This window comes from Homo sapiens, chromosome 2 (genome assembly GCF_000001405.40).
Source record: "Homo sapiens chromosome 2, GRCh38.p14 Primary Assembly".
Lineage (NCBI taxonomy): Eukaryota > Metazoa > Chordata > Mammalia > Primates > Hominidae > Homo > Homo sapiens.
In genome coordinates this window covers 69,771,518-69,785,587 of record NC_000002.12, presented here as the reverse complement: position 1 = coordinate 69,785,587, position 14,070 = coordinate 69,771,518, and the positions used below count along the sequence as shown (strand labels likewise).

General features: G+C 43.0%; 1 protein-coding gene across 11 annotated transcripts in view; it reads right to left on the bottom strand.

The window, feature by feature from the left end:
- ANXA4 (annexin A4) overlaps nucleotides 1-14,070 on the bottom strand; it is a 183,305-nt gene that overhangs the window by 41,525 nt on the left and 127,710 nt on the right. For all 11 annotated transcript variants that reach the window (XM_047444083.1, XM_017003943.2, XM_024452835.2 and 8 more), the window contains one exon: nucleotides 4,014-4,068. In XM_047444083.1, coding sequence (XP_047300039.1) covers nucleotides 4,014-4,022 — 9 coding nt within the window. In that variant the 5' untranslated portion in view covers nucleotides 4,023-4,068. The remainder of the gene's footprint in view (nucleotides 1-4,013; nucleotides 4,069-14,070) is intronic.

The window sequence follows — 14,070 nt, the reverse complement described above, 5'->3', positions numbered from 1 at the left end:
TCAGAAACATCATCATCATCATCATCATCATCATCAAAGAGAACTTCAGCTGTACCTCCATAATAAATAAAATAATGAGATTCTTTTATCTATTTCTTGTATTATACCTCCACACAAGCCTATGGGGTAATGCCAAAGCAGAATCTAGGATGGAGCATTTGTACAAGGTGGCATAAACAGTGTGGAATAGAGCTAAAGTTTTCTGATAATCTAATTGGATCCAAGAATGTAATATGGGCCATCTAAAGGAATGGAGGATTTTTATACCCTTAGCACAGTTCTCTGGTGAGCCTGACTTGAGCTTACTGCACTAGACCACCCTGGCCTGGACCTCTCAGGCCCATAGTGGCCCACATCAAGCCCATCCAAGTCCTCAGGTACCCAGGGCACGGGCCTTCTCTGCTGCAAGACCAGGCTTTCATGTTCTGGATATGGTAAGCATTTGGCACTTGGTCATCACCCTCTATATGTCTGACAGAGGAAGGTAGACATGTATGACATCGACTTCCTTGGGCCCCGTTATTGGATGAATTGTATCTCCCCCCTCAAAAAAGACATGTTGAAGTCCTAACCTCCAGCACCTCAGAATGTGACCTTATTTGGAAATAGGGCCACTGCAGATTAATCAGTTAAGATGAGGTGATACTGGTGTAGGGTGGGCCCCTAATCCAATACGACTGGTGTCCTTATAAGAAGATGTGGATATGAGAAGACAGAGACATACAAGGGGTGAGCACCGTATGACAAAGGCAGAGATGGAAGTTATGCAGCAGCAAGCCAAGGAATAGCTAGGATTGCCAGCAAACCCCCAGAAGCTAGGAAGAGGCCCAGAAGGCTTCTGCACAGGTGTCAAAGGGAGCATGGCTCTGCTGACACCTTGCTTTGGATTTCTGGCCTCCAGAACTGTGAGGCAATACATTTCTACTATTCTAAGCCATCCAGTTTGTGCTATTAGGTTGGTGCAATTACTTTTGCAAATACTTTATTTTGGCAGCCTCAAGAAACTAACAGAGGCACTTTACTTCTTTTCTTCTATTATATATCAGTAGTAATACGCAAATTGGTGACTTGCTGTCAGAATTCCAACATGGCTGTTGGCCCCAGCATGAGACAGCTTTCTGAGTTGAATGTTTCACAAGGTTCTTTTGGAAATTCCGTATTGAAAAATTTTTGGATGGCACTCAAACACTGCATTCAACTTTTAAGCAAACTGCGTTGCTGTGGGACACTACTATGGATTAGGATTAATATATAACAAGGTGAATCGATAGAGGAATTGGCAAGGGTGGTTCCGTTTATCAGTTAGCATTCTTAATGACTCTTTTTCTCCAAGAAAGAGATCAAGAAATGTGTTCCCTGTTAGCATGATAAATATCCATATTGATTGAATTTCAGAGTATAATAGGCCATTATCCATTCTGGGAAGACAGGGAATTCTGTCCCAAGAGGGCCCATTGTGATAGCAGGCAAAGGAAACAGAGAGGATATAGGAAGGAATGACAAAAATGAATAGATAGAAATAGGTGCCATATCACAATTGATGAAATATTGTTATTACATTAATAATGAAGAAGATACATGCCAAAAAGATCAGAGTACAATACAATGGAATACTAATGAACAATAAAAAGGAATGGAGGAACAAAACTACTGATGCAACAATACGGATGAATTGCAAAAGAATATAATGCCCAGAAAAAGAAGTCAGACACAAAAGAGTACCTACTCTATGATTCAATATATAGGATGTTCTAGAACAGGCAAAACTAACTTATGATAACACTCAGAACAGCAGTTGCATTTCTTGTGTGGAGTGGAGGGTGGGAAGGGGAGTTAATATGAAACGGGCATGGAGGAGCTTCTAGGAATGATAAAATGTCCTACCTTGATATGAGAGTAGGTTATGTGGGTATATATATGTATTTGTCAAAACTTAACGACCAGTAACCTTAAAGGATGTGCATTTCACTATATGCCAATTATACCTCCATAAAACATGTTTTAAAATCTTGAATACAATGATTTAAAAAATATTATAGAGAATTTGGAAAATTTTTTAAAAATTAAGAAGAAAGCTGGGCGCGGTGGCTCACGCCCGTAATCCCAGCACTTTGGGAGGCCGAGGCGGGCAGATCATGAGGTCAGGAGTTCGAGACCAGCCTGGCCAACACAGTGAAACCCTGTCTCTACCAAAAATACAAAAAATTAGTCAGGCGTGGTGGCGAGCGCCTGTAATCCCAGCTACTCAGGAGGCTGAGGCAGGGGAACCGCTTAAACCTACGACGGAGGTGGTAGTGAGCCAAGATCGCGCCACTGCTCTCCAGCCTGGGCAACAGATTGAGACTCTGTCTCAAAAAAAATAAAAATAAAAATAAATTAAGAAGAAAATTAAAACACTCATAACCACTAGAGTAAATAATTTTAATGATATGAAATGTAATATAAACATTACATTATCTCATTAGCATAGAGAAGAGATAAAGCATAAGATCAGAGTGAATAACTTGTTTCCTATTTTCCTATACTAAGTGGGGTACAAGGAAAGCTACAAAACTATTATTTATGCTCTTATTACTCTTATTTAAAAATCATTATACATATGAGTAAGGTCTAAAATTAAAAAATGGCAAATAGTTGGTGTTTCCAATGTTGCGACTGTATAGTGTGATTTTCTTTTTAAAATGTCCTTTATCTGTCAATAAATAATAGTCATGATAGAAAAACAGGTTTTAGGAGGAAAGATGAGAGCAACTGAGGTAATTTTCTCCGAGTGGAAAGCACACAAAGGGCCACTTGATTACAGTCTTCATTTGTAGGAAAGCTGTGAGCCTGCTGAAGACAGGAAGAGCATCTCATTAATTCTGAGTCCTAGTCCCACATCTGCCACAAAGTAGGGGCACCATAAGCATTTCTGAATAAATATTCTCCACGTTGGCTAGGCACAGTGGCTCATGCCTGTAATCCCAGAACTTTGGGAGGCCAAGGTGGGAGGATCGCTTGAGGCCAGGAGTTTGAGACCAGCTTGGGCAACATAGCGAGCCCCTCATCTCTATAAAAAATAAAAATACGTAAATATTTTTAAAAAAATTCTCCATGGCCAGGGAGAATCAATCAGCAAGAAAATGATTTTAAACTAAAGCATGAGAGATTTGGGGCACACATGAATAAGCCTTTGACTGTCAGAGATCATGAAGAAAATTCTGGAATATCTAATGCAAAAGAAATTAAGAGTATATTACTCTTTGTTCAGGATAGTTTACTTTACACACCCATCTTCCTAAAGGAAGGCATCTCAAGCTGTCAGGCTCTCCAGTTCCTCTCTAGGTATAAGATTTCTACTTCTATTATTGCTTCCTCCAGAAGACCACGGATCAGAATTACTTGTCTATTCAGAAACCGTATTTGGGCAAGAGAAGGAGAGCAGATGTCCAGCCTTAGGTACAGCCATGTTTTCAGCTAAGAGGCTCAGCTTCCACCTCAGAGCTGAACTTTACAGAACTCTCAAAGGGATTCAATTCGATGCTTGTTCCAAAGAGCAAATAACCAAGGTCCAAGGTGTCTGATTACTGTCTAAAGCAGGAGGCAGCCAACACACCCATATTGTTAAGAAACACCCCTCTTGATGAGCCTGAAATGATGTGGCTACCTCAGAGTATCGATAGCAGTCCTCTTCAGGTGGTAGAACCTAAAGAATTTTTAGTTTTTCCTTTTTAAATGTTCTAAAATAAACATGTAGCGCTTCTGCAGACAGAAAATTACAACTTGTTTCTATATTCTCAGGATGTTAAAAGAATTCAAAGAATTCTCTCTTTGAATCAGTTTTCAAGGTCAAGTTGCTTACCACCCCTAAAAGAAATTTAAATGATGTTTAGAAATAGACCTGCCTTTTCATGTCCTCCTCCTTCCCCTCTGTTGAGTAAACAATGCTTTGTTTAAGCTAACAGTTGCTGAGCCCACATTCTGTACCTGTTGGCAGCTGGCACCAGATAGGGTTGAGGTATTTCACAACTTACCATGGCCATGACTCTAGGTCAAGATCAGAGTTCAGCCACCCAAGCAGAAGTTCTTCTGTGATAAAAGCAGAGGGGAAATTACTGTGATGAAGGAAATGGCATTAAAATCATTAATCAGGATAACTTGCAGTTTGCATGAAGCTAAGCCATGAGGAAATGACACCCAACTTAATCAAAAGGCCAGTTACTGATTAGCCAAAGATACAAGGAATGGGCTAATTAGAGAAACTGTTAAAAAAAGTCAACTTTATCACACTGGTAAAATATTTTCCCACCTGTTCTTCTGTTTGGAGATACACACTACAGAAAGGATTCCTATTGTTTTGTTAGGTTAAGTACCAATACTTGTACTCAAGCTGGACACAGATTCTGAACTGAATGTTACAGCAGATCAGAAGAGGTTCCCCCTTTGAGAAAAGAGATAATCCAACTGCATCAGAGGAAAGTACAGCATACCAGCCTCCCCTCTGTGTGTGCATCTGTGTGAGTGTGTTTGTGTGTGTGTAATGACAGGCCGGCAGCCCAACCAACATTAGAATCTTTTCGTTTCCCAGTGGCGATTTTCACCGCCACCATTCTAGGATTAAAGATTTTCTTCCCTTTAAGCTGCAGGCTTATACACTCAACTTTGTCCTCGGTTTTCAGCACCCCCTCTTTCATCATCATCACACATTTTTTTCAGTTGTTCAGAATGCAAGAAATGTCTTCACTGTAGTCTAGGACTCTTGTGGAGTTCTCATGACACATAAACAGTCCCCTAATGGCAGCCCACCACCTCCTATTCCCATATCTAAGTCATATAAACAAGGCACCTTCTCTTTTCTTGTTTTTTTGAGTCAGGGTCTCCCTCCATTGTCCAGGCTGGAGTGCAGTGGTGCAATCATAGCCCTCTGCAGCCTCGAACTCCTGGACTCAAGCGATCCTCCTGCCTCAGCCTCCCGAGTCACTGGGACTACAGGTGCGAACCACCTGGATAAGGCTCCTCTTCTCAGAGTTTAGTTAGATCCTTGATACTCAAAGAGTCATCCTAGAACCAGGAGTACATGCATTCCTGGGAACTTGTTAAAAATGCAGAACCTGGCTGGGCGTGGTGGCTCACGCCTGTAATCCCAGCACTTTAGGAGGCTGAGGCAGGTGGATCATTTGAGGTCAGGAGTTTGAGACCAGCCTGGCCCACATGGTGAAACCCCATCTCTACTAAAAATATAAAAATTAGCTGGGGGGTAGTGGCACACGCCTGTAATTCCAGATACTTGGGAGGCTGAGGCAGGAGAATCACTTGAGCCTGGGAGGTGGAGGTTGCAGCGAGCCAAGATCATGCCACTGCACTCCAGTCTGGGTGACAGAGTGAGACACTGTCTCAAAAGAGAGAGATAGAAAAAAAGCAGAATCTCAGGTCCCTACCCCACACCTACTCCCAGAATCTGCATTTTTACAAGATTCCCCAAACATTTGCCTGCACAGTAGTTTGAAAAGCACTGGTCTAGATAATCTGACCAAGCAGTGTGCCTTTTGATGATAACTAAGTCCTTCTTAACCCACCTGATTACCATTTAGGCCTTGTTTGATCACATTTGCTTTTTACCTTCCAGTTTCATTCTTCCTGTTTCCCATCATTCATTGCCGACTTACCCCCTATTACCTGGGGGTTCAACTAAGGGGAGAACCAACTAGTCCTGGGACACACCCTGAGCAAAGGTACAGAGGTGGGAATGAGCTGCAGTTTCAGGAATAATGAGGAAATGCGGGAGTGACAGCAGAGGGCTCATTCCAGGGAAGGCTCAGAAACAAGGTTGGAAAAGCCAAAGTGAACTGAATGGTATGGGCCTTGCACGGCCGGCTGAGGAGTCTGGCTACAGAATACCATAGGTCATGGGAATACTGTGGAAAGTTTTTTGTTATTTGCAGACAAATGCCATAATAAAAGAAAAGCTTTAACAAGGTACTGTACTTTACTATAGGGTAAACTGGAAAGAGAGAGACTGGAGTGAGAGAGAAGGAGTTAAGAAGGCTTGAGAGACAGCTACAGGAACAGATGGGTAGAGGCAAAAGCTTGGGCAGGGTGTGGCACTGGAATATGATATATGGGGGATGTCTGGAAGGAAGACTTTATCAGAAGTAGTGACTCATGGACTGTGTAGATTTACTCATTCAATCACCAAATGTTCCTACATGACCTCTCACAGCACCTCTCCAGGCACTGATAGAGATAATGCAGTGGATAAGACAATGAACCTGCTGTCAAGGCATTTATAGTCTACCAGGAGAGATAGACGACACATTTATTTATTTTATTTTATTTTTTACATAACTAGACATCTTTATCTTTTGACAAATAGCTTTTACAAACATAATTTTCAAGCTCTTTCCACAATATAAATCATTACTTGGCTCCCCTTATTTCATTAAAAAAAAAAGGATTCATTCTGACTTCTCTTTCCTTTTTTTTTTTTTTTTTTTTTTTTTTGAGGCAGAGTGTTGCTCTGTTGCCCAGGCTAGAGTGCAGCGGTGCAATCTTGGCTCACTGCAACCTCTGCCTCCCAGGTTCAAGCGAGTCTTCTGTCTCAGCCTCCCTGGTAGATGGATTACAGATGGATTACAGGCATGTATCACCATACCCGGCTAATTTTTGTATTTTTAGTACAGACAGGATTTCACCATATTGGCCAGGCTGGTCTTGAACTTCTGACCTCAAGTGATCTGCCCACCTCAGCCTCCCAAAGTGCTGGGACTACAGGCATGAGCCATCACACCTGGCCCTCTGATTTCTCTTTTTTTTTTTTTTTTTTTTTTTTTTTTGAGACAGAGTTTCACTCTCGTTGCCCAGGCTGGAGTGCAATGGCACGATCTTGGCTCACTGCAACCTCCGCCTCCCGGGTTCAAGTGATTCGCCTGCCTCAGCCTCCCGAGTAGCTGGGATTACAAGCATGTGCCGCCATGCCTGGCTAATTTTGTATTTTTAGTAGAGACAGGGTTTCTCCATGTTGGTCAGGCTGGTCTCGAACTCCCGACGTCAGGTGATCTGCCCGCCTCGGCCTCCCAAAGTGTTGGGATTACAGGCGTGAACCACCGCGCCCAGCCCAACTTTACTTTCTAAATGCCAGATATACATCAACCAGGCCTTTTCTGACTCCAGAGACAGTTGACTTGGTGACAGTATTGATATCCACTGTAGAGATGCATTGTAACTTGGCTAACTCTAATTAGTTCTGATATTAACAGGCCCAGCATAGGCTGCTAAAACCCTTTGACAATTTTAAAATATATTTTTAACTCTTACTTATAACTTCTATTCAACCTCTTTGCCACCAACAACAAATTTTAGAACGAATAAATAAGATAATTTCTGATTTCGGCGAGATGATGAAAATATAACAGGATGATAGCACAGAGCAAGGGTCGGCAAACCACAGTAGCTCATGGGTGAAATCCTGCTTTTGTACAACCTACAAGCCAAGAATGTCTTTATATTTTTAAATAATTGACCAGAAAATCAAATAAGGGATATTTTATTACATGTGAAAATTGTACAAAATTCAAACTTCGAAGACTTATTGGAACAGTCACACGTGTTTGTTTATATTTTGTCTGTGGCTACTTTCAAGCTACAACAGCAGAAATGAGTAGTTGTGACAGAGACCATGTGGCCCAGGAAGCTAAGAATATTTATTATCTGGCCCTTCACAGAAAACATTTGCTGACCCCTGACATGGAGGATGACAGGATCAGGTTACCAGGAAGAAGCTGGCCTGGGCAGGGCGATCCGGAAGGCATCTCTGAGTTGACATCTGAACTAAGACCTGAATGAAGGGAAGGGGCTAGCCGTTCAAAATTCTGAAGGAGAACTCTTTCAGGTAGCTGGAGCAGTCAGTGCAAAGGCCCTGCAGCAGAAATTGGCTTACTGTGTTTGAAGGATGGACAAAAGCATTGTGAACAAGGGCAAGAGTGGCATGAGATGAAGATGCAGTCAGGCCATATAATATTGTGACTTAGAGTAAGGGATATACACCTGTTCTCCTCCTGTTCCTGGTACATAACTCCTAAATCCCTTGGAATTTTGTAAGCGATAAGAACAATAAGGGTGAAAGGAGCATCTTTTGTTATTCATAACAAGCCCGGTTAACCGCACCTGAGTTCATGTTAATGAGGGGACGTCTGGAAAGCCCCCAGATAACTATAGGATGGGGGGCTGGTTGCCCTGGTAAACAAACTCTGTGATTAAAGAGTTGGAATTTTCAGCCCAACCTCTCACCTCAGGGGAGGAGAGAAGGGCTGGAGATTGATTTCATCACCAATGGCCAATGATTGGATCAATCATGCCTATGTAACAAAGACTCCATAAAAACCCAAAGGACAGTGGGAAATAGGGAGTGGAGGGGTTGAAGAGCTTCCAGGTTAGTGAACATATGGAGGTGCTGGGAAGACGTGCGCCTGGAGAGGCCGTGGAAGCTGTGAGCCCCTCCCCACGTGCCCCACCCTATGCATTCTTCCATTTGGCTGTTCCTGATCTGTAGCTCTTTATCATAAACTGATAATCCAGTAAGTAAACTGTTTTCCTGAGTCCTGTGAGCCATTCTAGCAAATGATGAAAGTCAACAGGGGGTCATGGGAACCTCTGATTTCTAGCCATTCCATCAGAAGCACAGGTGACAAGCTGGACTTGACACTGGCATCTGAAGTGGTGGAGGACTGTGGGACTGATCCCTTAACCCAAGCTTGTCCAACCTGTGGCTCGTGGGCCACATGTGGCCCAGGACAGCTTTGAATCTGGCTCAACACAAATTCATAAACTTTATTAAAACATTATGAGATTTTTTGCAATTTTTTTTTCTCATGAGCTATTGTTAGTGTTAGTGTATTTTATGTGTGGTCCAAGACAATTATTCTTCTTCCAATGTGGCCCAGGGAAGCCGAAAGATTGGACACCCCTGCCTTAACCAGTGGGGTCTGTGCTAACTTGATAGTGTCAGAATTTAGTTAAATTGTGGCACACCCAGTTGGTGTCCAAAGAGAACTGAAGAACTGCTTGATGCTTGATGTGGGAACCCCCACCCCACCCCCTCACCCATCACATCTGGTGCTAGAAGTGAAAAAGTGTTAAAGTATAAGGAAAAATAGTTTGTTTTCCTATACAATTGGTGTCAGAAGTGGGATTTGCTAGAATGGCCCTGGCTTGCAGAAATATGTGGTTTGGGAAGAGAAAGAACAAAAGGGTTGGGGATGAGAAACTTTGATTCCTGGGTGGCCACATGGTCATGAGATAGGCAGGCTGGTGGGTTCCCTATTTTTAAATGGTCTGGGCCAGGCATGGTGGCTCACGCCTGTAATTCCAGCACTTTGGGAGGCTGAGGTGGGTAGATCACCTGAGGTCAGGAGTTTGAGATCAGCCTGGCCAACATGGTGAAACCCTATCTCTAATAAAAATATAAAAATTAAGCTGGGCATGGTGGTGAGTGCCTGTAATCCCAGCTACTCAGGAGGCTGAGGCAGGAGAATCATGTGAACCCCCAGAAGTGGAGGCTGCAGTGAACCAAGATTGCACCACTGCACTCCAGCCTGGGCAACAGAGTGAGACTCTGTCTCAATAAATAAATAAATAAATAAATAAATAAAATAAAAATAAATAAAATGGCCTGGAAGAAAATGATAGAAGCCATTCACTCAAGCTTTAACTTATCTAACTCTCAGCCAATTAATAACAAAAGACCCAAGAAGCTTATTAACCACGAGTTCCTATTTCAGGGGGCTGGGGACTTCCCTGGAGCCCTGCATGCATAGCTAGACTTAAAGTCCAACCTACAGTTACCCTTCCTCATTTTAAGGCTAAAAATGCATGGGGTGGAGATTTAAAATACTAATGTTGCATATGATGCATGAAGAAGCATGAGTGCTAGAAAAGCCTCTCCTATACATGCTCTGATGTAACCCTTTCCCATGGAAAGACCCTATAAAACTAACCCACACACTATCCTCCGATAGCAGTCTGTTTCTTTTCCTTTCTCAGCACTGGCTCCCTTGTGCATGAGCCAAAACAAACTTTCTCTTTGCTGCTATGTATGGTGATTGCTCTTGATTTCTATCCTGGGTGATTACAAGAACCCATGGCATTGGTAACAGCCACTCATGGTACGGAGTAGCATACCATGCTGAGATCTGTTAGTAAAGGTAAAAGCTACCCCAAGGTGTTGGCTCACTGGAAGCATAAGGAAATGCAAACTAATAAGAAAAGGCGATATATTCAGTCCCTTGGTTATTATCTGTAACAGATAAAATAAAATTAAAAGAGAGTGCTGGGTCAGACCAAGCTCAGATTTCAGTGAGTCTGCGCTCTAGCCAGTAACTGCAAAGCCACCCACCAATGGCAAAATCATGCTGAGATTAGACAATATCACTAAGAACTCTGGTAACCAAGAAGGCAGTTTATGTGGGGTGGAAGGCAAACCATGAAACGATTGAAACCACAGGGTATAGTGTGAAGAAGTTATTTCATTTTGTAGATCAGTATCATAAACTTCCTGAAGAACCTTTATTCAAATGGGTTGTGTGAGTAACTAAGTGAGTGACAGTGTCTTAGGTTTCGAACACTGCAGAGTATTCAAAATGCTAGCATTCATGTTTGGGTTGATGCAGGACCCACAGCTCTCTATGGAGCAATCGCAGATGTTTCAGGTGGTCCAGACACATAGGAGGTTATTCCTGAGAGAACATCCAGCCTGGTGGACTGGACAAAAGCCACACTAAGGTCTGTTTACCCTGAGAAGGGGGACTGTTCCTCTCCCCTTATAAATGCCAAGTAGAATACCCCTGATGAAGCAGCTGATGTGCTTCATATGCAAACCACAGAGGACTGGCTTGATGATCATCGGGGTATTTGTCTGCTGAATATGCCTGTTACCCAGGTCATGGTAAACGCTGTGATTAAGGGGGCTCCTTTTGGCTGGACGCGGTGGCTCACGCCTGTAATCTCTGCACTTTGGGAGGCCGAGGTGGGTGGACTACCTGAGGTCAGGAGTTTGAGACCAGCCTGGCCAACCTGATGAAACCCCGTCTCTACTAAATATACAAACAATTAGTCAGGCATGGTGGCGGGTGCCTGTAATCCCAGCTACTCGGAAGGCTGAGGCAGAAGAATCACTTGAACCTGGGAGGCGGAGGTTGCAGTGAGCTGAGATTGCGCCACTGCTCTCCAACCTGGGCAACAAGAGCGAAACTCTGTCTCAAAAAAAAAAAAAAAGGGGGGGGGGGGGCTCCTTTTACATAAACACCTCATATAACCTTACTGCTGCAAAACCAAGGGAGTCTTATTGAATTTTCTCTCTCAGTTTCCCCTTATGGGTCTTACAGATGCTAATAAAAACATGAGGTTAGTTAAGAGAAGAATGGAGAAAGGCACAGAGAGTCACGGACTAGTCTTAGCAGGGTGGAAATTTTTAAATGGTTATTAACACATAGGGCAGGGTGAGATGGCTCACGCCTGTAATCCCAGCATTGTGGGAGGCAGGGGCGGGCAGATCACCTGAGGTCAGGAGTTCGAGACCAGCCTGGCCAACACGGTGAAACCCTGCCTCTACTAAAAATAGCAAAATTAGCCTGGCATGCCTGTAATCCCAGCTACTAGGGAGGCTGAGGTACAAGAATTGCTTGAGGACGGGCGCGGTGACTCATGCCTGTAATCCCAGCACTTTGGGAGGCCGAGGCAGGCGAATCACGAGGTCAGGAGTTCAAGACCAGCCTGACCAATATGGTGAAACCCCGTCTCTACTAAAAATACAAAAATTAGCCAGGCGTGGTGGTGCACGCCTGTAATCCCAGATACTCGGGAGGCTGAGGAAGTAGAATTGCTTGAACCCAGGAGGCAGAGGTTGCAGTGAGCTGAGATCACGCCACTGCACTCTAGCCTGGGTGACAGAGCAAGACTCTGTCGAAAACAAAAAAAAAAAAAAAAAAAAAAAAGAAGGAAAGAAAAGAAAAGAAAAGAAAGGAGAATAAAACAAATATTGATAAACAAACAAACAAACAAAAAATCAGGGGCAAAACTTAAGACCTTCACAGATCTTAGCCAGTCCTTGGTCTGGAGGCCCTGTTTCATGTCATGTGAATGATCCACATGTACCCATATCCCTTGGTAAGTATGATTCATATGCTAATTGGCTGACAACCCTGGCAGATACTGCTTTTCAGAGCAAGGGCCTTCCCTTTGCTTTCATGTAGTTTTGGAATAAATGACAAGTGAGGAGGCAGGGAAGGGGGACACCTCTCCAAAAGAGGCAAGCTTTAATATGAACATTCCACTCCTTTTTACCACATCAAGAAGTGGAAAGACATCTTGAGCAAAGCCTTCTGGAAATACTGAGAGTCATTACACAAGGAGCTAGAAATATTTCACTTAAGGAAAAAGAAGGTATCATACTTGAACACTGGGTACTTTTATTCAATTTATTTTGAAACTTGGACAGCACACAGTGTAATATACACATTTATATACAGACAGCTGTTGTTTATTTATTAAAGTTTTACTAGTACAAAACAAATTTCTTTCTTTCTTTCTTTCTTTTTTTTTTGAGACAGTCTCGCTCTGTTGCCAGGCTGGAGTGCAGTGGCATGATCTCGGCTCACTGCAACCTCCGCCTCCCGGGTTCAAGTGATTCTCCTGCCTCAGCCTCCCAAGTAGCTTGGATCACAGACGCCTGCCACCATGCCCAGCTAATTTTTGTATTTTTAGTAGAGACAGGGTTTCACCATGTTTGCCAGGATGGTCTTGATCTCCTGACCTCATGATCTGCCCGCCTCGGCCTCCCAAAGTGCTGGGATTACAGGTGTGAGCCACTGCGCCTGGCCACCAAACAGATTTCTAAATAGAATATACAAATAAATGCAGAAAATGGTACTCCTCGATTCATTGTTATATCAGATAGTATGTGTAAAGTCAGTCTACACAAATGCTTATTAGCATAGAGCCTGGCACCTGGTAAGGCCTCAATAACTCTTGGCACAAGGATGGGGGGAGCAGAAAGAGGAAAGAAATGCACCCCCCAAAACACAATTGCTACAGCCTCTCTTAGCAATTGCTAAGGCCTCTCTTAGCTGCACAGAATGACAGCTCCCAAGGGCTGAAAAGCCTTTCTTCTGGAAGTTCCACCTATAACCTTCCCACCTCATTTTCCACCTGCCTCGCAGTGCCATGCTCTTAGCAGAGCCTCTGCCCGACATTCTTTGCTATCTCACCTTCCTTGATTCCTTTGTTCTTTCTCTCTGAAGCCCTTTCTACAATCCATAAGCTGCACATTGTGACCAAGTCCACAATGACTCAGACTGTGTTGGGGGTTTAAAAGCTCCTTTGCTGCTCACAGATGGGGCGAAATAATTAGCAACTATGCCTCAGTTTTTACATCTGTAAAATGCAAACACGCTCCCATTTTGGGGGTGATTCAAATAACTCTAAAAGCATCAGGACTGTTCCAGATGGAAAGATGAAGGCTGAAGGTGATACACTTTTTAGTGATGTCTTAAAAACCTAGGGTTATGAAGAACATGGGTGGGTGACTACAGCTTCTTAACAGTATCTGAACTCTACGACTAGGGCTTAGGATAGGGATCTGAAGTTTTTAAGACATAGTTTTGGAGCAACTGAAAGATAGTTGGGAATTAAACATATGAGACCTATCTCAATAGCAGTTACAAAAGGGAAAAATAAGTTGTAAATAAGTTCAACTTATTTCAACTAAGATTACATAAATTCATGGAAATAATTTACAATGAATTCATAAAGAAAAAGTAGGTATGTTGAGAATACATCTATACTGGTTTCCAGGATGTCCAGAAGGATAATAATACACTGTAACACAAATTGCCCAGTTGTATCTGCCAGAAATGGGCAAGCCAGGTGCTGACTCAACTAGAAAGTTTCTTATGTCCTTATGGCAGACTGCAGGGATGTGGAACAAGAACTTCTGATTTCAAGTCCTATTTAGTAGGCTATATGTGGAGGTAACAGTGTGGTGCATTCTCCTCTCTCACCCAGCATTTGGAAAGCGGGCAAAGTAGATACTTCCCTAAG